At 37.4% G+C, this 27,631-nt stretch overlaps 1 long non-coding RNA gene and 1 pseudogene across 1 annotated transcript in view, besides 1 other annotated feature; one reads left to right on the top strand and one right to left on the bottom strand.

The window, feature by feature from the left end:
• Positions 1-27,631, top strand: part of LINC00970 (long intergenic non-protein coding RNA 970) — a 183,101-nt gene that overhangs the window by 132,232 nt on the left and 23,238 nt on the right. The window lies entirely within an intron of this gene.
• RPL29P7 (ribosomal protein L29 pseudogene 7) lies at positions 15,730-16,357 on the bottom strand (annotated as a pseudogene).
• Positions 20,836-21,036: a silencer, noted in NCBI's record as "peak446 fragment used in MPRA reporter construct". NCBI's record gives its function as "represses an SCP1 promoter by STARR-seq MPRAs in K562 erythroleukemia cells {active_cell/tissue: K562}" and the evidence as "EXISTENCE:reporter gene assay evidence [ECO:0000049][PMID:32103011]".

The following is a 27,631-nucleotide window of genomic DNA, read 5'->3' as shown; positions in this document are numbered from 1 at the left end:
GGCATGGGCAAAAACTTTGTGACTAAAACACCAAAAGCAATGACAACAAAAGCCAAAATTGACAAATGGTATCTAATTAAACTAAAGAGCTTCTGCACAGCCAAAGAAACTATCATCAGAGTGAACAGGCAACCTACAGAATGGGAGAAAATTTTTGCAATCTATCCATCTGACAAAGGGCTAATATCCAGAATCTATAAGGAACTTAAATAAATTTACAAAAAAAAAAACAAAAACCCATCAAAAAGTGAGCAAAGGATATGAACAGACAATTCGCAAAAGAAGACATTTATGTGGCCAACAAACATATGAAAAAAAGCCCATCATCACTGGCCATTAAAGAAATGCAAATCAAAACCTCAGTGAGATACCATCTCATGCCAGTTAGAATGGTAATCATTAAAAAGTCAGGAAACAATAGATGCTGGAGAGCACGTGGAGAAATAGGAACACTTTTACACTGTTAGTGGGAGTGTATATTAGTTCAACCATTGTGGAAGACAGTGTGGCAATTCCTCAAGGATCTAGAACCAGACACACCATTTGACCCAGCCATCCCATTACTGGGTATGTACCCAAAGGATTATAAATCATTCTACTATAAAGACACTCACACATGTATGTTTATTGCAGCACTATTCACAATAGCAAAGACTTGGAACCAACCCAAATGCCCATCAATAATAGACTGGCTAAAGAAAATGTGGCACATATGCACCATGGAATACTATGCAGCCATAAAAAAGGATGAGTTCATGTCCTTTGCAGGGACATGGATGAAATTGGAAGCCATAATTCTCAGCAAACTAACACAGGAACACAAAACCAAACACCGCATGTTCTCACTCATAAGTGGGAGTTGAACAATGAGAAAACATGGACACAGGGAGGGGAACATCACACAGTGGGGCCTGTCGGCGGGTGGGGGACTAGGGGAGGGATAGCATTAGGAGAAATACCTAATGTAGATGATGAGTTGATGTGTGCAGCAAACCACCATGGCACCTGTATACCTATGTAACAAACCTTCACGTTCTGCACATGTATACCAAAACTTAAAGTATAATAATAAAAAAAAAACTCCTAGGGTAAAGTGTGGTAGACAGAATAACGGCCCCCTAAAATGCCCAATTCTTACCCCCAGACCCTGTGAACATGATCTGTTACATGGCTAAGAGCAGCTAAGTCTACAGATGAAATTAAGTTTGTTAAATGGCTGCCTTTAAAATAAAGAGATTATCTTGGGTTATCTGGATGCTCCCAATGTAATGGTGAGGGTTCTTAAGTGATGGAAGAGGGAGATAGAAGTATCTGAGTGAGGGATTCAATGTAAGGATAACTTGATATACCATTGCAGGTTATGAAGACAGAGAAAGGGGTCATGAGCCAATGAATGCAGGCAGCTTTTAGGAACTGGAAAAGGCAAGGACGCGCATTTTCCTCTAGAGGCCCCAGAAAAGAATGAAGTCCTTACCATGCTTTGATTTTAGCCCAGTGAGACCTGCATCAGTCTTCTGACCTGCAGAACTATAAGATAAATTTGCGTGGTTTTCTGCCACTCGTTACAACAGCAATAGGAAACAAATACATGAAGCAATAAATAAATTAGTGTCTGCTACAAACTTACAGAGGATTTGAAAATGGGTTTGAAGGGTTTGAGGAAGAGACTAGGGGCCCACTAAACTTAGAGGGAAAGAGAAGAGCCACCACACACACACACACACACACACACACACACAAACACACACACACACGATGTAGAACAAAGGTAGGGGATGGGGATGGGAACTCCTGGAAGGCAAGGATCATTTAGTCTATCTTGGCATCCCCCCCACCACACACACAGGGCCTGGGCTATAGCAGATGCTCCCTTAAAAAGACATTTCATTAAACAGAATGAATAAATGGTGGGGGAAATGGTGAATGAATGAAGGAAGGAGACACCAACCAGAGGAAAGAAGAAAGGGAGAAAAGAAAGGAGGTAAATATGTATAGACTTGAGTGGTACATAAGGGGAGAATAGGATGGGTAAACAGCCAGACTGAAGGCTCTGAAATGCATTTATGCTCAGGCCAGTCCCTCAGTGAAGTGTGCATTTGCTTCTGGAAACTTAATAAATGATAAAAGTTTTGCAAGTTTCTCAACCATATCATTGCTGGCTCTTAAGTCTCTCAACCTATAAATATATTAACCAGAGAGAAACTCAGTCTGTCAATATGGTAGCAAAGGGCAGTGGAGCAGTGTTGGTTAAGAACAATGATTTTGCAGGCATTGGATTTGAAAAAAAAAGTTTTTTCTGATGTCTCAGGTTTTTGTACCAATGAAACTTTATTCAGAATGAGAAGGAATTAGGTGATAATCTCCTTTTCACTTAGATTTTCTTCATTAATCTTATTCTTCTATTGGAAAGCTTTGGATATGTTGGTTAAAGTAGGTTTTTTATTGCTAATTATTAAATCTCTCAGTTCTCATAAAATTGGAGCCAAAATCTGCAAGTCTAACAATATCCAAATATAGGTGTGAAGTTACATGCCTTTAAGTTGTCCAGCCAACATTTAAAAAATGATGGAAAGTATTTACTGGCTTGAATGTAATATACTATAAAGGCTATTTACAGACCCATTTCCTTGAGCATTAGAAATATTAATTACATAAGAACTGGAGTCTCAAGTTCAGGATACAAATGATATTGAGTATTTTTTCTTTGTTACTGTTTCTCTTCATCTTTTTATATTCTCATTATTCTTCTCTTTCTTTTTCATAGACAAATACATACACACACACATGCACACACACACACACACACACCCCTTTAACACCTAAATTTTAATCTATCTGCATTACATAATCCATAGACTAACCACTGTTAGAGGTCATCTAATCCAGTTCCCTTCAACAGATAGTGAGATGAGATTGTAGCCAAAAGAGATAATAAGTGATAGCAAAATCCCAAATCCTAGGTCTCCTGAGTCCCCTCAGACCTGTGTTTTCTACTGAACCATACCATTTCTAAGTGTAATAAATATGTCAGTGAAGGTTATGAAAACACCCTGACCACTTATATTGTGTCCTTTCCTCCTCCTTCCCTCAGCTTAGATTCCATTTTTTGTTAATTAATCAGGTCCATCATCATTTTCAACAAACGTGGGTGGGAAATCAGATGTTTTAATGTCTGTCTTGGAGTGACAATGCCAAACTGATGCAAGATGATGACTAGGAGAAATGCTGGTATGAGTAGAATTTTTTAAAGATGAAAAAAATCAAATTATTCATTAGTTGGGAAAATGTTACGTAAATTGTTATAGCCATACTGTGAAAATTAGTGCATCAATTAAAACTAACAAATTAGCTTTATATATACTGACATGGAAAAGCATCTCCAGTACATTACATGAGAAAATCAAATCACAGAATATGATGCATAGAGTTATCATATTTTTGTTCAAATCTATAGAGAAATATGTGGAAGGATATATATATCCTTCCCAGACTAACCTGCTGGCTAGGTCCCTGCATCTAGCCTAGCTCATGCCAGTCCCTTCTTTGGTGTTAGCCAGCTCCCATAGCCCCAGCTTGAGGCTGGCTTCTATGCATGGACACATGTTCTACTTAGAAGATTACCACTGTCTGTCCTGACCTCTTCCTGTGGCTCTGCCTTGCTCACCACCTGGAATGCTCCGATGTGGTTAGTTTCTGGAATTTAACAAATGACATTACTGTACCCTTTTTGCTTTCTGTGCCTGGACCTCCAAATGCTATTCCCATAGTGACTTTTTATAAGGCCGATCTCTACTCTGCCCGAGATTTTTCCTATTCCATCCTCATAATATTTCTTCCTAACAGTCCTGGACTATTGAGTGACCCGTAAGTTCAAGTTGTCCCATCAGACAAAACTTAGGCAGTTTTTTACTGTAGGAGAAGAGGGTAGACCTGAGATGGGGGTCAAAAAAAATGCCCAAAGTGCTACAGAGATTTACATACAAGGATGTTAATAACAGCATTTATTTAAAGTAGGAAGAAACTGGTTTAGAAACAAAGAGGCTGGGCCCGATGGTTCACGCCTGTAATCAGATGGCACTACTGCACTCCAGCCTGGGCGACAGAGTGAGACTCTGTCTCAAAAACAACAACAACGAAAAAACAAAAACGAACACAAAAAAACTAAAACAAAACCCAAAGATCCAGCCAAAGAGGAATGGTTAAAATTATGGTACAGTTATTCACGTGGACTGTTAGTCACTAAAAACCGTATTTTGAGAACATGCTTTTGAAAATTTTTTTGTATTATCTAAAATCTATGTATCATCTATGTACCTAGCTATCTAGTACATACTTGAGGGTACATGTGATATTCTGATATATTTATGCAATGTGTAATGATTAAGCCAGGGAACTTAGGATATCCAATCACCTTACAACCAAAGCCACATTTTGCAGTCCATGTAGTAATAAGATGGAGCTCCTCCATACCATGGGAGATGCTTCTTCTGCTTAGACTCACAAACCATTAGGACATTATTCTCAGTTTCCACAGTGTCCTTTCCTTGTTTTGTCTCATTTTCTAATGATTGGCACATTTCTGCTCAGCAAATTTCCTGTGGTATGTTGGTGATCTTTGAGGGTAACACACGGCATGATGTAGAGAAAAAAAGAGATCACTTAGATCTACACTCGAATTCTAGCTCTACCATTTGCAAAGTATATGAGCTCAGTTTCCTCTTTCTATGGAAAACAAATGGAATAACAATATCTACCTTGCAGGATTGTTGTGGGAATTACCATGAGATAATGTATATAGAAGAGGCTAGCATATAGTTGGTACTCAGTGGATATTGGTTTATTTTCTTCCTCCAGATGGGCTGTGGGCTGGTTGGTCTCTAGATGAACTGATGTTTATAGGATGACAATATCTGTGCCATCTGTAGCAATTTAGTACTGATTAGGAACTCAAAATGAAAGACAAAAATGTATGGCACAGATTTGGCTTGAGATTTTTGACATCCCAGATTTGTTCTTTTTCAGAATTTAGAAAATATGTCATTTTTGTTCAAATCTATATGAAATTTTTAATAAATAAAAACTCAAAATATTTGATTTAGGTGGCAGTTGGGAAGAAAAATGTCTTCCTTTTATGATTAATGTTGCTTTATTTTACATGATTTTTCATTCATATTACTCTTTTGTTTAAATCTCTCCTTTAACACACACACACACATACACACATGTTAATCTTAGTGTGCAAAAGCAAAACAAGCTTTCTTATTGAACTGGTACCTCTGTACAATGATCTCACAACCAAAAGGAGCAATTGTATTTGATGAAGAGAGGTCTATATATATATATTTTTTTCCTGCTGTGTTAAGAGATGAACCAGCCAGATCCTGGTTGCTTGGGACTTCAATAGAGGAAATGATCAGATGGCAGGTGTTAGGGTAGCTTAGATGTCATTAGTGCCCAGTACCTGAAAATGGACAACATCCCTATGACAGGGAAGTCAGGTCGACACCATTAAAACAGTGGTTCCAGTTATGCTGCTAATCCTATGACCTTGGGCAAGTCATATCAGCTCTAGAAGCTTCAGTTTTCCCATCCATAAAATTAGGCATTTGGTGTAAATGATCTCTAGGTTCTCTTGCAGCTCTGAAATTCCATGGTTCCTTGAATACAAAAGTGGTAATGCGACAAGAGTCAGCAATGGAGGCCAGAGGAGCTAGCCCAAGAATATTGACGTATGCACTTAAAGTGAATCTGAAAAGCAAAGAAAAGTATTATCTGGAAACTGACAATGGGTAAATTCAGGGATGAGGGGAAATATTGGTCCAAACAGAACAATGTATAATTGGTAAGGGGGATATTTTATCATGATCTGTGTTCTAACTTTTGCTGTCTACACTTGATTCTCCCACTGCTGTTACAGAACAACAAAATCCATTGGGTTGCATTTCTGGGTGAGCCACAGACATGCTGGTAAAAGTAACATGCCACAGAGAGTGATGAGTCTGGGAGCCAAATAGGGTGACTGGAAAGAAGCATGATCCGATCTTAGTTGGGGAAGTTACTGCGAACAGTATCCTTACTGCATTCTACTAACAGAAAAGTCAGGAAAGATAATTTTCCAAACATGGAGCGATTGTTGTAGGTCTTTTTTTTTTTTTTTTTAAAGAGAAAGGCACTGGAGAGAATCATAAACACAAAAAGTATGTGACATCGTCATAGTACCCATGGCAATGGCAATTTGGCTAAGTTATTTCTTTTTTGTTCTCTTTCATTTTAACGAAGGGAGAGATGACACCTTCATTAACAGGGATCTTCCAACTTCTTCACACAACTCATTCTGTTTTCAGTTGGCTCTGATTATTAGGAAGTTATTTCTTTGGTGGCCTGAAAGATGAATCTCTAACACATCTAATCTCTGCTCCCTGCTTTATTTCCATAGCTACAGAGAACTCTGAAGACAGCTGGTGTGTACCTTTGGAATCTTCTTTTCTTAATATATGCTTTTGTTTCTCCCTAATGGTCTAATATCCAAACTTTTCACTCTCTTTCCATCAGAGGTTGCATTAGCTAAAGTTGGCCTTCTATGGCAGTCTTAGATCCCCTCAGTTCTGTCTTCATGGGTATATTTGCCTGAGGTTCTCTGTTGTGGTTGTGTTTCCTGGTTGGGTTCTTTCATCACATAATAGGGAATTCATTTCTGGAGAGATGCAGTTTTCAGTCTACAAAGGCCCACATCTCAATCTGCGAGGTAGATACTCTAGCAGAGCTGATGAGAGCTAAGCACTATCTCCATCATTTCTAGCTTAAGTATGCTGGTTGGCCACAACTTTCTTCTTGAAAAGTCCAGGGACACTTGCATCTTTGGTACCATCAAGAAGCTGCTTATAACCCATAATGCTTATTCTTTAACATTTCCACAAAATAATTTGGCTGCACGATCTCATAAGACAACCACTTCAGATATCTTATGTAGCATTAGACCCTGGGAAAAAAACCAGAATGGTTTCTTAAGGGCAAATTTGTCAAGATATTGCTCAATATATTGAGGAGCTTAATATAGTAGGAGGAGAGTGGATTTGGAATCCTAAGGAACTGAGTTCAAATTGTAACTCTGCCATTTACTATCTGATTGACCTTGGGCTTTGGGAAAATTAAATTAGATAATAATGACGACATGTCTGGTACAGTCTACAATACCCCGTAGGTGCACAATAATTGCTATTACCCTAATCCTTTTCTTGGGAACAAATCCTACATTATATTTCTTGGGATTACCTGGCAACCTCAAAGCAGCATGTTTTCTTACCTTCATTTAAAATATAATTTCCTGGCTAAGAAATATGTCCTGTTATCCAGGACACCTGCCTCTTTGCTGATTTCCCTATCAGCATAATTATTGACCCTGAACCCTTCAGAGTGATTTTTCTTCATTGGGCATGCATTCTCAGTCAGGCTGCCTCACTGCATACATCACCTGTGCTCCTACAGTTTATCACCTGTGTCATTCTTGTGACTTTGAATTGACTGTAGTGGAATAAACAGAAAGTTGCTAGGCATCTGGGCGAGGCTGAGTGAGCATTTTTAATGGGGGTTGTGCTGGCGCCACTGAACTCTCCAAGCTCTTGGAAACTGAAGAAAGCAAGTAAATGCTACTTTTGATAAAGTTGAAGACCTGGAGGAGAGCCCCCCCAGAATCAAAATATATTTTAGTTTTTATTCAATATTTTTATGGTCATAAAGGATTTATTGTTTTATATGTGTAGTGTCATGCATCTTGTGTTGTGGCATCTTATGGGTGTTTTGTTTAATATGTCTAAATATTCAATCTTGCTAATATAGATTAAACTAGCCAAAAATGAGGTGGTTGATCTGACATTAGCAAAAATTGATATCCAGCATGGTCTGAGAATCATAGTATGTAGGAAGAGAACACTCAATTAACCTCTCTTGTGATATTGGACTCAATTCCAGCTCTTCTCTGTCAGATGGGATAACGGGATGCAGCGAGACAGAGAGGCAAGAACCAGGTCCCCTGAGTTCAAATCCTGACTCTGTTGCATGACTTTGAACAAGTACTATAATCTCTCTGTGTCTCAGTTGCCTCATCTGTAAAATGGGATTAATAGTACAACTGGTTTCAAGGGTGGCTGTGAGAATTAAATGTAATAATATGTGTAAGACACTTTGAATAGTGCCTGGTGCATGTTCAATTTTATGTCTAAGATTGTCGTTGTGGTCAAATCCCTGATAAAATACCCAAAGCTCAGAAAGAATCATCAGATTCTACTCCATAATCAAACTACTGTAATTGTTGAACAATTATTTCTTATTTGTATTAATCAATTTAACAAATAGTATTGGTAATTTAGGATGTTCCAGGCACTCTTCTAGGTGAACAAAGGCAAATAATTCCAGCCAAGCTCCTGCTTTAAGGACTCAAAATCTGTCTCCTGGTAAATTTCACATGCTGATTTTAGTTTTTCCATGGAAATATGGAATAAATTTGCTCCTTTTTCTGCATGGCAGCAGCTCTTTAATCTGAGAATACTTCAAGCTCTTCTTTAGCTTTGCCTTTTGTGATTAAACAGGTGCAATTCTTTCAACTGCTTCAGATATGGCAGATGATTTCTAGCTGCGTTCCTGGGCTCTCTCAGGAACCAGGACAGGAAGGCTGAGCTATGTGGGACTTTAACCAGGGCAACACTGGGGCTCTAAGTCCTGTTCCTGGCAGTCCCCCAAGTTCTGCGTGACTTCACTCTTGACCTTCTTCCTTCTGCTCTGGAATTAGCTTTCTCACTTTATACCTTTCATAGGGCTTTAGATCAAGTCATTCTCTGGCTCTTTCTGCTCCTGCTTGCTTTTGAATGCCATCCCACCGCTGGGACCCTACTTAGACCAGATCCTAAATCTCCTAATAGATCCCAACCCAGCCCCTAACTTAGAGAGGTTTTAAATCACTGTACATTTTCATTTGTTATAAATGCTTTGTTTTAGTTGTCCTAAATTCCTTGAATTGTGAGCTAGAATAGCTCATAATCAGCAAGGGAACAAAATAAACTGCCAAATGAATCCAAGAAGCCCTTGATTGTAAGACGTACCAATATTTTATGTACCTCCCCCCAACCCCAGGCCTTCTTATTGCTCAGAATTTTTATTTATTCTTGTTGAAGGAACTCTTCTAAACTTAGTTAGCAATAGACTTTTATCTGTGTTGCTCTTGTACATAAATAGTAACCAAGTCCCATTAGGTTTCAAAAGCTTATTCTTTAGCTATTCACCTTTATATATTCATAAAATGCTTGAAGGGTCAACATACTTGGATGGTTCAGTATAGCTCCTGGATTTCTAACTTATCTAGGCCTTTCATAAGCTCAGAGGTCATCCCTCAATGTCCTCTGCAAGCATAGTAACATCTTTGAGAAACATTTTATCCAGGGGCAGTGACAGGTTCACTTGTAGTTAATAAAGTTTCAATTTTAGGGCTTCTCACTAGCACAGCCCATTCCTTTCTCTGTATAGATTATGATAATGCAGAATTTTGTCATATGGAAAGGTAAAGATATGTAGCCACAAAATATAGGGAAAAGTATGAAAAAGCCATGCCAAACATCTAATTTATAAAACATTCTTTTTTTTTTATACTTCTCAGCTTCTTAAGATTTGTAGTTTACCATAATTTATTTTGCCTTTCTTAATAAACATTAATTGTTGTACATAATTTTGTATTCTTTTTTCTAGAGAAGGATCTACAAATTGCATAAATTTGGAGTTCAATAATACCTAGATTTGCCCCCTTCTTAGGTAAATACTTTTTAGTTTAAATTTAAATATAATGGCAACTCTAGGACATTCCAATACAAATGACGTCACAGTCATATGCTACTTTTTATAACTCTTGCTTGTGATTTTGATTGTTTAGCTCCTTTAACATTGATGAAGTTATTTTGAGCCATTTTGAAGTACATCATGGTTTCATTAGCATTTTCTGTTTGACAAGGTTCAATTTTGTTTTTTCCTTAATTGAATCACATGTTGTTGGAAGTTGGGAAGATTCTGTTCAAAGTCAGATGGAAATTTCTGATGAATTGATGATCTGCCCAATGTATGAATTGGTCATATCACTCTCTCATTGCTTTAAAATTTCTTTCTTTCATCTATTCCCAGGGATTTGGGCATTTTTTTTTCTGTCTTTAGTTGATGTATTACAGCCAAACATTTTTTAACTTTTTACTTTGAATAACCTGAAGCTGATAGCCAAACATTTTTTAACTTTTTATTTTGAATAACCTGAAACTGATAGTTTCAAGAATTCTTTTATACTCTACAACCAGATACCGCAATTACTAATATTTTACCATATTGTGTTGTTCTGTCACTCCCTGCATTTATACATTTTATTTTTTTCTCAACCATTCAAGAGAGTTAGAGATATTAAGCCCCATTACACCTTAATGCTTCAGTGTGCATTTTCTAAAAACAAGAACATTCTCCTATATAACCATAGTACAACCATAAAAATCAGAAAATTCACATTGATACCATGTTACCATCTAATCTACTGATCCTAATCAGATTTTGCTTATTGTCCCAATAATGTCCTTTCAAAGGTCCAGGATCATGCATTATATTTACTTGCCATATCACTTTAGTCTCTTTCGATCAGATAAGTTCTTCAGTTTCTTTCTCTTTTAATGACGTTGAAATGTTTGAAGAGTCCATAAGAGTTACTCTGTAGAACATCCTTCAATTCGTGTTTGACAGACATTTGCTCCTGAATAGATTCAGGTTTTGTATCTTTTGCAGGGATATCACAGAAATGATGCTGTGCTCTTTTTAGTATATTATTTCAAGTAGCATACGATTTCTGGTGATGTTCATTTTTACCACATGGCTAACATTGTGTCTTCTAGGTTTCTCTATTGGAGAAGTTAATTAATACATATTAAGTACTTATTAATTAGTAAGCATTTAATATATATTTTATGAGAATATACTTTAAGATTAGGTAAACATCCCATCTCTCATCAAATTTTCAGCCCCTAAGTTTTGCTACTATTGAATGCCCATGTACCATTTATATAAATAAAGTTTTCTCATAACATAACCATATCTTTTCTTTTATGACTTTTATGTGGCTGCTTCTTTGCTACAAGAACAGAGTTTAGTATTTTTGACAGAGACCAAGTGTCCTACAAAGCCTAAATTATTTACTTTCTGTCCCTTTACAGAAAAGCTTGCTGACCTAGCTCTCATGAGCCTGATAATCTGTATTTTAACAAGTGCCTAGGTAGTTAAAAACTTTGCCAAAGTGTATTTCTTTCTCTGTACTGCTGAAGTCTATATTTTATTACTTAAATATTTTTTCAGTTCATAGTGTCATTTGTCCTTTTGTATCTTTTTTTTAAAGAAATAAGGCCATGAGGTTTACAAAAGCTGATGATAAAATTCGTGTCTTTGAAATGTCAATTGCGTAAATGAGACAGAGAATGGTATCATAAATAGGTTTTAATAGGTGGTCTTTGATATTATAGTGAGTGGAAAAACTTCACAATTTCAAAAAAACCCTAATACTATTCATAATCTTGACAACTTTGGCTTGATTTCTGTCTCTCTAGTGTTCTGATTTCTTCAAATACTGCTATTAGATTAACCTTCTTAAAGAATAGCTCTGAGTTTCTCATGCCTGGTCAAAAAGCAAACACAAACAGTATATTTCATAATCTCCCCAATTCTAATGCCTATGGCCCATAGTTTTTAGCCTGGCATGCAAAAGCCATCAAGGGTTGAACCCAGTCTACTCTGAATAAGGAAAGATGAGGAGCCAGGAGTGGTCTTAGAAAGAGAGAAAGAGATTGGAGGGCTTTTCCAAAAACATCTTCTTCTCCTAGCCATCCCATTTTCAATGTTTTAGATAGCTCAGACTTTTAGCTCTTTACCATAACTACTTCATGTTTAGGTTTCTCTTCAGATCACACACACACACACACATACACACACACACACACACACACACACACACACACACACACACACTGCATCACATTCCTAGCTGGTAGCTTCTATTGGTACGGTCCCATGACCTGTCCTTTAAAACTGTCTCTACAGTTCCAAATTCTCTCTGCTCCAGTTTAAATTCTATGTTTTTGAGAAAGCTCTTTTTCCTGCCATGGTTTGGAAGTAATATTTCCCTTCTTTGGCCACAAGTTGTACTTTACTTGTATTTCTCTTAGGAACTTGTTTTCTATCTTTAATACAATTCATTATGCACATGATCTATCTGCCCCACTATTTTATAAAATGGTCAATGATAAGCTTTCTATTGGATTTCCCTTCATAGTACAGTGTTTCCTCCTTAATAGATCCCCAGTAAGCAGTCAATGAGTGACTCACAGGTCTGTCAAGGTGCCCATCCTCACCAGAACACCTGAGTGTGAGTGGTGTAGATTCAGTGTGCAGCTGAGTACCTAATATCTCTCTTGGGGCCTTTGAGTTCCATTCGCTGTAAGATCTGAGGCTAATCTGAGGGAGGCTGGGCCAGTTTGCAGCCCCATTTGCTGGTACGCTATCTTTAAGAGTATAGCATGGAGCACTGTGGGAAGTGGGAGTCAGTGTCTTTTTTCCAGGCCACCATTCATTCACTCTGGATTCCTTAAGGAGAAGTCAGGCTGAGGTCAGCCTAGGTCCTTCTGATTCCTTCTGTTCCCATTAGTTGAACAAGCTCTTTACCTTGGTAAGTGATTCTTTTTGCTGCTATCAACTCTCCTTTACTTTGCCTTTTTGCAGATGTAAAGAGATGGAAATAGGAAAAACATACACTGTAGATCAGGGAGAGGGCAACCAAGGCAAAGTTACAAAAAGAAACAGACAAATTTCAGTGTAGACAGACCTAGGTTCCAGTCCCAAATCTGCCACAGTCACTGTGGAATGTTAAGTAATTTACATAACTGCATCTAAGATCCAGTTTCCTAATCTGCAGAACTGGAATAATAATAGCTACCTTATGTGGTAAGTGCTAATTTATGTAAAACACCTAGTTCATAGTAGATGCTCAAAAACTTGCTGTTATTAAATGGCTCTTTGGAGAAACTGGCCAAAAGAAAAGGAAAATTTTTAAAAAGGGGCAATGTGGACTGTGAATATACTGATGGAAAACATTCCATAGATGATTAACTAAGTTACTGTTAAAAATTACTAAATTAAAAAGTTTTTAATTATGAAAAAATACATTTAAGTGGGAGCTGAAAGCTACCCAATCCAGAGCACGGATGAAGAAGTACTCAGACAACTAGAGAAACACAACTTCATTGGAAAGGCAGTGAGGTAACAAGAATGGGTATTGACAAATGCATGTAAGGTTGTAGGTGGGATGGCAAAGCATTGAGGGCATTTCCACTTCATGGCTTCTATTTTCTTCATTAAGTAAAAGGCATTCTATTTTCTCCACTAAGAATAAGGAGGGACCAAGGTGAGGAAGATGATTTGATAGGCCACAGAAGTTAAATAAAAATTGATACAGGTTAATTCTGTGTTAGGCTATTTACCAAGTGAGAACATTGAAAAGACAGTGAGGCAAGGTAGTAAAAGTTTTGGCAAGAAAATAATTCAGGTGTGGAGATATGGACTCTAAGTTGAACAAGGAAATATATGAAGACAAGGATGGTCTCTGAAGTGAAAAAGGAATAGGAGGACTTGTGGATCAGGAGCAGGTGAAGGAGTAACTGAATGAGACAGCAAGAAGGACAGGATACTGGGATTGGATAGTGGTGGGTGGGAACTGAACATTTCAAGCATGGAGTTGTAACAAGTGTCTAGGATGTTCAGGATGTGGTTGTGGGAGTGGGTGACCGAAGTGGGGGTGTTGAAGTTTCCTAGGGATGGCAAAACCTAGAAACTGATGTGGAAGAGTTGACAATGGAAATGCAAAAGTCATTCTGAATAATGGAAGTGCTTTCATGTGATAAAAAGAAAGTTAACTAAGTACCTAATCTTAAAGAAATACTGGGTGTGGTGAACACAAGAGATAGTAGCAGATGAAACAATGAAGACTACTTACACAGGTCAAAAGTCAATGGGGGTCAGGCACAATGTCTCACGTCTGTAATCCCAGCACTTTGGGAGACCAAGGTTGGGGGGAATCTCTTGAGGCCAGGAGTTCAAAGCCAGCCTGGCCAACATGGCAAAACTCCATCTCTACTAAAAGTACAAAAATTAGCTGGGCGTGGTGGTGGGTGGCTGTAATCCCAGCTACTTGGAAGGCTGAAGCAGGAGAACTGCTTGAGCCCGTGAGGCGGAGGTTGCAGTGAGCCAACATGGTGCCACTGCACTCCAGCCTGGGAGAGAATGAGACTCCCTCACAAAAAAAAAAAAAAAAAAAAAAAAAGAGTCAACTGGGTTCTTTGTAAATTTTTAATTTTAAAAAAATTTTATTAAATTTTTTTTTTCCTTAGCAATGAGGACTCATTCTGTCCAGGCTGTCTCAGAGTCCTGGGCTCAAGTGATCCTTCATCTCAGCCTCCCTAGTAGCTGGGACTACAAGTATCTGCCACTGTTCCCAGCTCAACTGGATTTTTAGCAGAACAAAATCTGGGTGTTTTCAATGACACTATTCCCTACCTGCCTCTGCAAACAATAAAGTCCTTACATTGTTAGATTGACTTTAGGATCTTGGTTAGAGCCTGCTATCACTCTGTGTCTGTGCCCTGTTATGGGAACAGAAGTTTCTCCTCATTCCAGATTTTAGTTAGTAAATTGGGAAAATTTCCTTCCTGGCTGTTGTGCCTGAAGCTATAGCTTGTTGGTTTCTGATTTTTTTTTTTGTCTTTTACATCTGATAACATATTTAACTCTATTGTCCACTTGCAGCTCAGGCTTGACTGACTTGTGTTTGTATAATTCTAGTAAATAAAATAGCCCCCAAAAAAGACTTTTGTGAAAACTATGGTAGATCACAACCTTCAACAAATCTTCATCTTGCAATGCAGGGAAAAGGCACATCAATATTTACTGGAGTCAGAAAACACTCCCCAGCAGGTGCATAATTACTTTTATGAAGGATGCCTGTGACTCATTCCTGCCCTGCCTACACAGGACGCCTCTCCTCATTAGCTTGCGATATTATCTGTCTTTGTATGAAGGTCATTTTGAATCTAACAGCCAGGATAATCACATGGAAGAATTACTGGAAAAATCCCCACTCATGTAATTGCTAACATAATAAAGTTTCAAATTAGATATCAAACAGCACTTCAGTGTTTTGTTTCTTAAAATCATATGATTTGCCTTATGGGGATCTGCGTGTATATTTTCTTAAGGTGACATTGTCTCACCTTGAATATCTCTTTTTATAAGTGACTGGCCTTAAAGATAGAAAGAAATGCTAAGGCTTTGGATAGAACACCTTCTTGATGACTCAAATAATGTGTTAATGATTTTGAGAGCACTGAGGAAACTTATGCCCATTGAGTGCTACAATAATAGACTAACTGATTTATGAGCAGTCTGTACATTCCTAAGAGCTCTACTTCTAGGAGTGTGTAGCCCACAGGAGAACTAACTTCACCCTAACTGTAGAGTCCCATGCATTGATCTGAAGTACTCATTCTTAGTCTATTACCAGGGAGGTATATATGTGTTTTGGGGGCAGCATGTAAAAATTTGAAAAAGTATAATCACTATTGAAATATAAATTTTAATTGAGGAAAAACCATATTATTATTATTATTGTTATTATTTTCCTGCCTCAGGCTTATTTATACAAATAGCACAGGAAGACACCAGCCCCATGCTGATGGCAGCCCAGGGTGGGTCACACCAGTCCTTCTGTCCTCACGTTGGCAGACAGAGATCTCTACCCTGAAGTCTTTGTAGGGGCCTGGGCATCTTTGGGAGCCTGAGCTGAAACTGAAGCTGGAGCTGCAGCCTGGGCCTTGGTTTGATCCTTGGCTTTGGCCTTTGGCCCACACAACCTGAGACCCTTGGCAATGCGGGCACAAGCACACTTCCCAAGCTTGGGGTGGGTAATGTAGGCAAATTGATTGAGCTTGAGGCTGACACCCTTTGGCATCTGGGCTTAACCTCCTTTGGCTTTATGAGGACCTTGATAGCCTCAGTACGTGCACTCATGGCCTTGGCATTGTTGGCCTGCATCTTCTTTAGGCCCTTCTTGTTGCACTTCTTGGCAAAGCCCATGTTCCTCAGGAACTTGGGGTCCACCCCCTTAAGAGATTCATATCTTTGCAATCGGGGTTTCTTGATGCCATTCTGTGCCATTTTCGGGACTGGTTGTGTGTGGTGTGGTTCTTGGACTTGGCCTTGTCTGCACTGTAACACCCAGCTCCCAAAGCACCTGGAACCAGAAGAGACCATATTATTTTTATACTGTAAGCTTCTGAGGGAAAAGCCCTATGAAATCATTTTGGCTGGCAAGACTACACCAACACAAGACTACATTATTTACGTGTCAGTGATTTTCATGGACAACCAGAAATAAGTGGCAATTTATTCATAATTTCTATTACTGACTATCCATTCCATTTTCCTTTGCATCCAGCCAAACCCACAGCTGGATGGGGATTTTATCTGGTGAGGAGACCCTAACCTTTATTCCCTTGTGATACTGTCTTTATGTGATCATTGCAATTTTCTATTAACATTCAGTAGGTCCGCACTGGTGCTGGCAGAGAGTGGTAGGCAGGGAAAACAAATCTAAATAGATAACAACTCTATTCTAGTGAGGATAAATTTTTTCCCTCTCCATGCAGAATGGTATTCAATGTAATCAGCTTGCTACCAGCTAGCTGAGTGGTCCCTGTTGTATGAGACCATATTGGGTATTGGGGTTAAACATAGTAATTGGCAAATTGGATTTTCAGCTGTGGTAGTAGCTGGGTCAAATTCCATAAGAAGTCCCCTTTGCAGAGATTTTTGCCTTGCTTCTAGGTCAATCACTATGGCTAGTTTGTTTTTTAAGACCACTGAACAAACTCTAGGGTGGTTGTAGAAGGAGACTGACTGATATTTAAATTATGGGTCATCCAAGAGACTCACCTAACACATAAGGACTCACAAAAACCTAAGGTAAAGGGGTGGAAAAAGAAATTCCATGAAAACGGACCCCAAAAGCAAGCAGGGGTAGCTATTGTTATATCAGACAAAACAAACTTTAAAGCAACAGCAGTTAAAAAAGACAAAGAGTGACATTACATAATGATAAAAGGCCTTGTCCAACAGGAAAATACTGCAATCCTAAATATATATGCACCTAATACTGGAGCTCCCAAATATGTAAAACAATTACTACTAGACCTAAGAAGCGAGATAGACAGCAACACAATAATAATAGGGGATTTCAATACTCCACTGACAGCACTGGACAGGTCATCAAGACAGAAAGTCAACAAAGAAAAAATGGATTTAAACTATACCCTGGAACAAATGGACTTAACAGATATTTACAGAACATTCTACCCAACCACAGAATATACATTCTATTCATCAGCAAGTGGAACTTTCTCCAAGATAGACCATATGGTAGGGCACAAAGTCTCAATAAATTTAAGAAAATTGAAATTATATCAAGTTCTCTCTCAGACCACAGTGGGATATAATTGGAAATCAACTCCAAAAGGAACCTTCAAAACCATGCAAATACATGGAAATTAAATAACCTGTTCCTGAATGATCATTGGGTCAACAATGAAATCAAGATGGAAATTAAAAAACTATTTGAACTGAACAATAACAGTGACACAATCTATCAAAACCTCTGGGATACAGCAAAGGCGGTGCTAAGAGGAAAGTTGATAGCCTTAAATGCCTTCATCAAAAAGTCTGAAAGAGCACAAATAGGCAATCTAAGGTCATACTTCAAGGAAATATAGAAACAAGAACAAACCAAACCCAAACCCAGCAAAAGAAAAGAAATAACCAAGATCAGAGTACAGCCAAATGAAACAGAAACAAACAAACAAAAACAATACAAAAGATAAATGAAACAAAAAGCTGGTTCTTTGGAAAAATAAATAAAATAGGTACACCATTAGCAAGATTAACCAAGAAAAGAAGATAGAAGATCCAAATAAGCTCAATTAGAAACAAAACAGGAGATAGTACAACCAACACCACAGAAATACAAAAAGTCATTCAAGGTTACTATGAACACCTTTATGTGCATAAAGTAGAAAACCAAAAGAAGAAGGATAAATTCCTGGAAAGAGACAGCCATCCTAGCTTCAATCAGGTAGAATTAAAAACCCTGAACAAACTAATAGCAACAAGTGAGGTTGAAATAGTAATAAAAAATTACCAACAAAAAAAAAGTCCAAGACCAGACAGATTCACAGCTGAATTCTATCGGACACTCAAAGAATTGGTACCAATCCTATTGACTGTATTCCACAAGATGGAGAAAGAGAGAATCCTCCCTAAATCATTCTATGAAGCCAATATTACCCTGTTACCAAAACCAGGAAAGGACATAACAAAAAATAAAAAGAAAACTACAGACCAATATTCCTGATGAATATAGATGCAAAAATCCTTAACAAAATACTAGCTAACCAAATCCAACATCATATCAAAAAGATAATATATCATGATCAAGTGGGTTTCATACCAGGGATGCAGGGATGGTTTAACATATGCAAGTAAATAAATAAATAAATAAATAAAATAAAAACAAAAATCACATGATCATCTCAATAGACAGAAAAAGCACTTGGCAAAATCCAGCATCCCTTCATGATTAGAACCCTCAGCAAAATCGGCAAACAGACGACATACCACAGTGTAATAAAAGCCATCTATGACAAGCCCACAGCCAGCATAAATAATGAATGGGAAAATTTGAAAGTATTCCCTCTGGGAACTAGAACAAGACAGGATTCCCAGTCTTACCACTTCTATTCAACATAGTACTGAAGGTCCTAGCCAGATCAATCAGACAGGAGAAAGAAATAAAGGGCATCCAAATCAGTAAAGAGGAAGTCAAACTGTTGCTGTTTGCTGATGATATGATTGGATACCTGGAAAACCCTAAAGACTCCTCCCAAAAGCTCCTAGAACTGATAAATGGATTCAGCAAAGTTTCAGGATAAAAAATTAACATACATAAATCAGTAGCTCTGCTATACACCACCAGCGACCAAGCTGAGAATCAAATTGAGAACTCAAATCCTTTTACAATAGCTGCAAAAAAAGATACTTAGGAATATACCTAGCCAAGGAGGTGAAAGACTTCTACAAGCATAACTATGAAGCACTGCTGAAAGAAGTCACAGATGACACAAAAAAAAATGGAAACAAATCCCATGCTCATGGATGGGTAGACTCAATATTGTGAAAATGAACATACTGCCAAACAACAATCTACAAATTCAATGGAACTTCTATCAAAATACCACCATCATTCTTCACAGAACTAGAGAAAACAAAATTCTTGTGGAACCCAAAAAGAGTCCACATAGCCAAAGCAAGACTAGGCAAAAAGAACAAATCTGGAGGCATCACATTACCTGATTTCAAACTATACTTTAAGGCCATAGTCACCCAAACAGTATGGTACTGGTATTTAAATAGGCACATAGACCAATGGAATAGAATAGAGAACCCAGAAATAAACCCAAATACTTACAGCCAACCAATCTTCAAGAAGCAAACAAAAACATAAAGTGGGGAAAAGACACCTTATTCAACAAAAGATGCTGGGATAATTGGCAAGCCACATGTAGGAGAATGAAACTGGATCCTCATCTCTCATCTTATACAAAAATCAACTCAAGATGGATCAAGGACTTAAATCTAAGACCTGAAACTATAAAAATTCTAGAAGATAACAATGGAAAAAACCCTTCTAGACATCAGCTTAGGCAAAGACTTCATGACCAAGAACCGAAAAGCAAATGCAACAAAAACAAACATAAATAGGTGAGACTTAATTAAACTAAATAACTTCTGCATGGCAAAAGGAACAGTCAGCAGAGTAAACAGACAACCCACAGAGTGGGAGAAAATCTTCACAATGTATACATCTGACAAAGGACTAATATCCAGAATCTACAAGGAACTCAAACAAATTAGCAAGAAAAAACAAACAATCCCATCAAAAAGTGGGCTAAGGACATGAATAGGCAATTCTCAAAAGAAGATATACTAATGGCCAACAAACAGGAAAACATGCTCAACATCACTAATAATCAGGGAAATGCAAATCAAAACCACAATGCAATACCACCTTACTCTTGCAAGAATGGCCATAATCAAAAAATATGGATGTTGGCATGGATGTGGTGAAAAGGGAACACTTCTACCCTGCTGGTGGGAGTGTAAACTAGTACAATCACTATAGAAAACAGTGTGAAGATTTCTTAAGGAACTAAAAGTAGAACTACTATTTGAAACAGCAATCCCACTACTGGGTATCTACCCAGAGGAAAATAAGTCATTATACAAAAAAGACACTTGCACACATATGCTTATAGCAGCACAATTCACAATTGCAAAGATATGGAACCAACCCGAATGCACATCAATCAATGAGTGGATAAAGAAACTGTGGTATATATGTATATACCATGGAATACTACTCAGCCATAAAAATGAATGAATTAATGGCATTCGTAGCAACCTGGATGGAATTGGAGACCATTATTCTAAGTGAAGTAACTCATGAATGGAAAACCAAACTTTGTTATGTTCTCACTATTAAGTGGGAGCTAAGCAATGAAGAAGCAAAGGCATAAGAATGACACGATGGACTTTCGGGATGCAGAGGAAAGGGCGGGAGGTCGGTGAGGGATAAAAGACTACAAATTGCATTCAATGTATACTGCTCCGGTGATGAATGCACCAAAATCCCACAAATCACCAGTAAAGAACTTACTCATGAAACCAAATACCACCTGTTCCTGCAAAACCTATGGAAATTAAAAAGTTAAAAAAAAAAAAAAGACTTGAAACAGACAAAATGGCACACATTAGCTTCTACCATGGTGCTTTGCAAGACTGCAAGGTGAAAAAATTTCATTCCAAACCCCATCTTGTATGTAAGGAAACTTTAAAACAAAATTGAATGCTATCTTATGGGCATTGTTATGAGGGAGAAATGAGTATATTGGGTAAATTAACTGTATTATGATGTTTATGGTCTGCACACAGGCAGAATTTGATTGTGTGAGAAGACAAAAGAGGTTCCTTAGGATGACTAATACATCTTTTTAAATGTACATTAGAGAGAAGTGCACAGAGTGCGCATATCACATCTGAAATTTTCTATTGTTCTGTCTGTTTTTCATTACTCTGAAATGATTACTGCAAAAATTCCTAAATTGGATGCTTTTCAAAGAGGAAGATTAAAGACCATAAGCACAGTCTTGCAGCTGTGTAAAAAAGAGTGTATTTCTGTAGATGCATGGAAAGCCTTAGCAGCTTCCCCTTGGGCTCTGAACAGCAGATGGAGAAACCCGAGGCCCACTGGGAAGTGTCAGCCTTGCTCCATCCATGAACTTGGAGGGACCTCAGTTAACTTTTTGTAGCGTATCTGCCCTGAGCTAACCACCATCTGCTTGGCATTATTTAATTATTTAAAGCCTCTTAAATGCATTTTGGTAGGGCCTGGGTCTCCACGATGCCAGGACAAGGAGGCAGAGGTCTTCTGAAGAAACCCCTTGACCACCATCCGCTTGGCATTATTTAATTGTTTAAAGCCTCTTAAATGCATTTCGGTAGGGCCTGGGTCTCCATGATGCCAGGAAAAGGAGGCAGAGGTCTTCTGAAGAAACCCAGACAGAAACCTTGCACGGTTGCAAAGGAGGAAGAGAAGTCAAATACAAGCATTACCAAAATACTGAGCGGTCTTGCTTCCAAGACTACCTGGGAATTTGTAGCTCTTTGATTAAAGATTAGTACTAATTTGAAACAAAACAACAACAACAACAACAACAACAAATGGATCCTCTTACTTACTTGATCTGGAAGAATATCCTCCATGGAGGAGTATTTTGTCGGAGTACTTATATCACATGAGACATGAGTGTATTCTGGGATCATTGCCAGTTCGTATACATAGCTCTTCTCTAAGACTCTTTGTCATCAATTCTGTTTTGCTTCTTTAAAGAACCTGCTAGTAGATGTAGATGCTTACCTGAGAGCATTTCTCCTTTCATCCTGACCACAAGTTAAAGCATTTCACATTTGTCCCATTGGAAGAATTTTAGTTTTCACTATCCTTCAGAGCCACCACTGTTGCATTGTAAAAGTCCATTTCTATCTATGTCATGATAAGCCTTCTGTAAATAAGACTCAAAATACGGTCCTAGACAACTTTTTATAAGGCTATGGGTGTGGGAGAAGGTAGAATGTCACTGTGTGGCTGGAGTAGACATGCTAGGAGTGTGAGCTACTTGCTTGTCCAACCTGGGGAACTGCAACATTCAGATCTTGAATATGTTTACTTCCACTAGATGATGGAATGCTTGTGGGTATGCCCAACTTAATGATAGGTGGATTAGAAACATCCAGTTCATTATGAATATATCAATTTCTGTGGCCACTTCGTCTACTGCAGTCATGCATTAAGAATCTTATAACCTCTTCCAACCCTAGTAGTTTTACAGTTATGCATTCAGTTTCTTTTCTGTGTTTCTCTTAAAATTCTAATATGCAAACTTTCTTTAACAAAGTATATAATTAATCACTCTCTCTTCCCTCTATTGGAAAAATACAAGAGCCCTGAAACACTGGAACTTTAATTACCCATCATTCTGTATTAAATGTCAACCTTACATACTTTAGTTTGAACTTGTTTTTGTACTTCTAAAGTTAATAGCTATTGTGATTATATTATAAAATTCGGCAGTTTGCTTGGAATTACTTATTTTTTTTCAGTCTCTTTGCTCACACTTCCTTCTTTACAGATTGAGATTCTTTCTTACTAAGGCAGATACTTAGAAGTTCACTAGTAAGCGTCTGTTAATGGTAAACTCATACAATATGGATCTGAAAACATTTAATTCATTATCATTCTTAAATGGTAGTTTAACTGGACATGGAATTCTCTCAACAGCAAATTGAGAGTTACTTTATCTCAGCACTGAATATATTGTTTCATTATCTTTTGATTTCTATTGTTACCATTGAATTTATTGAGACCAGACTATACATTATTTCTTCTTAGATAATATGCTGCTTCTCCAGATGTCTTTAATATTTTCATTATATCTCTTCTGTTCTACCATTTTACTACATTGTCTAGGTGTGAACTTATTTTTTTATCCTACTTGGGACTGTTGGGTTTCTAAATTTCACAATTCTTATCTTTTATCAAGGCTAAAAATTTCAGATATTTTCTCTTCCAATAACTTATCTCCTTCAGAAAACCTTTCCAGATATGTTAAGTCTTCTCATTTTATCCTCCATGTCTCTTTATTTCTCATTCATATTTTCCATCTGTTTACCTGTCAATACAGCATTCTTACTAATTTTTTAAAGATATATCTTTCAGCCAATTAATTTTCTTTATGCTTTTATCTACATTCCAACTTAACACATCTACTGTTGTGATTTCAGTGGATATATTTTTCATTTCAGGTATTTTCCCTCCAAAACTTCCTGCTCCCCATATATATATATTTAGTGTATATATATATACACACTAAATATATATATAGTGTATATATATATATATTCAGTTTTTCTTTCTGTAGTCATTTTAAACATTTTTGTTTTGTAGCCTCTGTCTTATTGTTCAATTATAAACTGGTGGGGGGTATAATCCTAATATTTATATGTCTGCTTTCTCTGGCTCATGGTGAAATTCCCCAACTATTTTGTAACTTTGGATTGTAAACTCCTATTCAATGTGGCTTCAGTTGTGAGAATTTTGTAGATCCTGGTTTTTGAGTTTGCTTTTGTCAGGTACTTTTGGAGTATTTTCAGTCTTGACCAAGTCTGAAGTTAGTTATGCCTAAAAGATTCCTGGACAAGACCTAGTTACAAAACAAATAATGTTTTTAAAAGCAGAATAATTACCTGTTTTAGAAAGTAAAGAGGGATCAGCTTTACTTCAAAACTCTAGATATCTTTAGCATGATTCTCCTATTATGATTTCCCTCAGGATACATACAATATTCCAATCTACTGCAGGTGTTGTGATTCCCATAAGGTTCTTTTTGTCATATAAGGGCAGAGTGATAGATCTGTTTATACAATATCCTAGACCAGCCAAAGAGTTGTCTCTTGACCTGGGTCTCATTTAACACTGGGTCACAGACACAAGTGTAAATGTGGTATATAGTGCCTCCAAAATTCAAGGGCTCGACAAGTATAATTTAAGTAATTTCGGTGGTAGAAGGTAAAAGGGGGATCATTTTTTTCTTTCCCTTTGATGAAATATATCTATCTATTCTCATCTACTATAACTTAAATAATTTTACTGCTCTTGTAGGGTGCTGTATTTTTATAAGATTTATTCTCTCCTCTCTGATACACACATTTCTATCAAAACATTTAGAGTGTGATATTTCTATTTTATGTTTTCCAGGTTCTTTCACCTATAAACGTAACGAATTTATGTAATATCCTATGGAAAGCTACATTGTCAGGGTAATTGTGGAGGAAATTGTGGCAGAAAACTGGAGAGCTGACAAAAACATGGGCAAATTATTCAAATTAATTATGTGTCATATTGTTTCAAGAGTTTTAAAATTTTCTTCATTTAAGGGAATCTGAGTTTCTAAACTAATTCAGAGTTGGAAACTGAGGCATTTTGACTCTCTCTGTGGTTGCTCAAGTCTAGCCCCTATTTACCAGACCTAGAAGTTTCTTTTAATGTAATAAAATCAAGTTGTTTTGAGAAGTGACTTTTTATGTCCTTTGCCCATGTTTTAATGGGGTTGTTTGTTTTTTTCTTGTAAATTTGTTTAAGTTCCCTGTAGATTCTGGATATTAGACTTTTGTCAGGTGGATAGATTGCAAAATTTTTCTCCCACTCTGTAGGTTGTCTGTTCACTTGATGATAGTTTCTTTTGCTGTGCAGAAGCTCTTTAGTTTAATTAGATTCCTTTGGTCAATTTTTGCTTTTTCTGTCATTGCTTTTGACATTTTCATCATGAAATATTTGCCCATGCCTATGTCCTAAATGATATTGCCTAGATTTTCTTCTAGGATTTTTATAGTTTTGGCTTTTACATTTAAGTCTTTAATACATCTTGAGTTAATTTTTGTATAAGATATAAGGAAGAGGTCCAGTTTCAATTTTCTGCATATGGCTAGCCAGTTTTCCCAGCACCATTTATTAAATAGGAAATCCTTTCCCCATTGCGTTTGTCAAGTTTGTCGAAGATCAGATGTTTGTTGCAGATGTGTGGTCTTATTTCTGAGATCTCTATTCTGTTCCATTGGTCTGTGTGTCTGTTTTTGTACCATTACCAAGCTGTTTTGGTTACTGTAGACTTGTAGTGTAGTTTGAAGTGGGGTATTGTGGTACCTCCAGCTTTGTTATTTTTGCTTAGGAGTGTCATGGCTATGTGGACTCTTTTTTGGTTCCACTTGAATTTTAAAGTAGTTTTTTCTAATTCTGTGAAGAATGTCAATGCTAGTTTAATGGGAATAGCATTGAATCTGTAAATGACTGTAGGCAATAGGGCCATTTTCACAATATTGATTCTTCCTATCCATGAGGATGAAATGTTTTTCCATTTGTTTGTGTCCTCTCTGATTTCCTTGAGCAGTGGTTTGTAGTTCTCCTTGAAGAGGTCCTTCCCTTTCCTTGTTAGCTGTATTCCTAGGTATTATATTCTCTTTGTAGCAATTGTGAATGGGAGTTCATTCATGATTTGGCTCTGATTATCTGTTGTTGGTGTATAGAAATGACTGTGATTTCTGCATATTGATTTTGTATCCTGAGACTTTGCTAAGTTGCTTAGCAGTTTAAGAAATTTTTGGGCTGAGTCAATGGGGTTTTCTAGGTATAGGATCATGTCATCTGCAAACAGAGACAGTTTGACTTCCTCTCTTCCTATTTGACATCCTTTATTTCTTTCTCTTGCCTTATTTCCCTGGCCAGAACTTCCAAAACTATGTTCAATAGGAGTGGTGAGAAAAGGCATCCTTGTCTTGTGCCTGTTTTCAAGGGGAATGCTTCCAGCTTTTGCCCATTCAGTATGATATTGGCTATGGGCTTGTCATAAATGGCTGTTATTATTTTGAGGTATGTTCCATCAATACCTAGTTTATTGAAAGTTTTTTTTAACATGAAGGGATGTTGAATTTTATCAAAGGCCTTTTTTCTGCATCTATTGAGATGACCATGTGATTTTTGTCTTTAGTTCTGTTTATGTGATGAATCACATTTATTGATTTGCATATGTCAAAACAGCCTTGCATCCAGGGGATGAAGCCAACTTGACCGTGGTGGATAAGCTTTTTGATGTGCTGCTGGATTTGGTTTACCAGTATTTTATTGAGAACTTTTGCATCAGTGTTCATCAGGGATATTGGTCTGAAGTTTTATGTTTTTTGTTGTTGTATTTCTGCCAAGTTTTGGTATCAAGATGGTGCTGGCCTCATAAAATGAGTTAGGAAGGAGTCTTTCCTTTTCAATTATTTTGAATAGTTTCAGAAGAAACAGTGTCAGCTCCTCTTTGTATCTCTGGTAGAATACAGCTGTAAATCTGTCGGTTCCTGGGCTTTTTTTTTTGTTTCAGAATTTGTTATTGGTCTATCCAGGGATTCAACTTCTTCCTGGTTCAGTCTTGGGAGAGTATATGTGTCCAGAATTTATGTGTTCATTTCCTCTAGATTTTCTAGTTTATTTGCTTAGAGGTGTTTATTGTATCCTCTAATGGTTGTTTGTACTTCTGTGGGGTCAGTGGTGATATTCCCTTTATCATTTTTTTATTGTGTCTACTATGTAGCCAACAAACATATGAAAAAAGCTCAACATCACTGATCATTAGAGACATGAAAATCATAACCACATTGTGATACCATCTCACTCCAGTCAGTATGGCGATTATTAAAAAGTCAAGACACAAAAGATGCTGGCGAAGCTGTGGAGAAATAGAAACACTTTTACACTGTTTGCAGGAATGTAAATTAGTTCAACCATTGTGGAAGACAGTGTGGCGATTCCTCAAAGACCTAGAACCAGAAATACCATTTGACCCAGGAGTCCCATTACTGGGTATATACCCAAAGGAATATAAATCATTCTATTATAAAGATACATGTACGTGTATGTTCGTTGCAACACTATTTACAATAGCAAAGACAGGGAATAAACCCAAATCCCCATCAATGATAGACTGAATAAAGAAAAAGTAGCACATATATACCATGGAATACTATACAACTGTAAAAAGGAAAGAAATGGTGTCCTTTGCAGGGACATGAATAGACCTGGAAGCCATTAACCTCAGCAAACTAACACAGGAGCAGAAAACCAAACACTGCATGTTTTCACTTATAAGTGGAAGCTGAGCAATGAGAACACACAGATCCAGAAAGGGGAACAATACACACTGGGGTCTGTTGGGGTGGGGAGGGGTGGGTAGAGGCAGGGAGAGTATCAGAATAAATATCTAATGCATGCAGGGCTTGATGCATGCAGGTGTTCCGTTGATCTGTGCAGCAAACCACC

This window comes from Homo sapiens, chromosome 1 (assembly GCF_000001405.40).
Source record: "Homo sapiens chromosome 1, GRCh38.p14 Primary Assembly".
Classification (NCBI taxonomy): Eukaryota; Metazoa; Chordata; class Mammalia; order Primates; family Hominidae; genus Homo; species Homo sapiens.
This window is presented reverse-complemented; position numbering and strand designations above follow the sequence as displayed.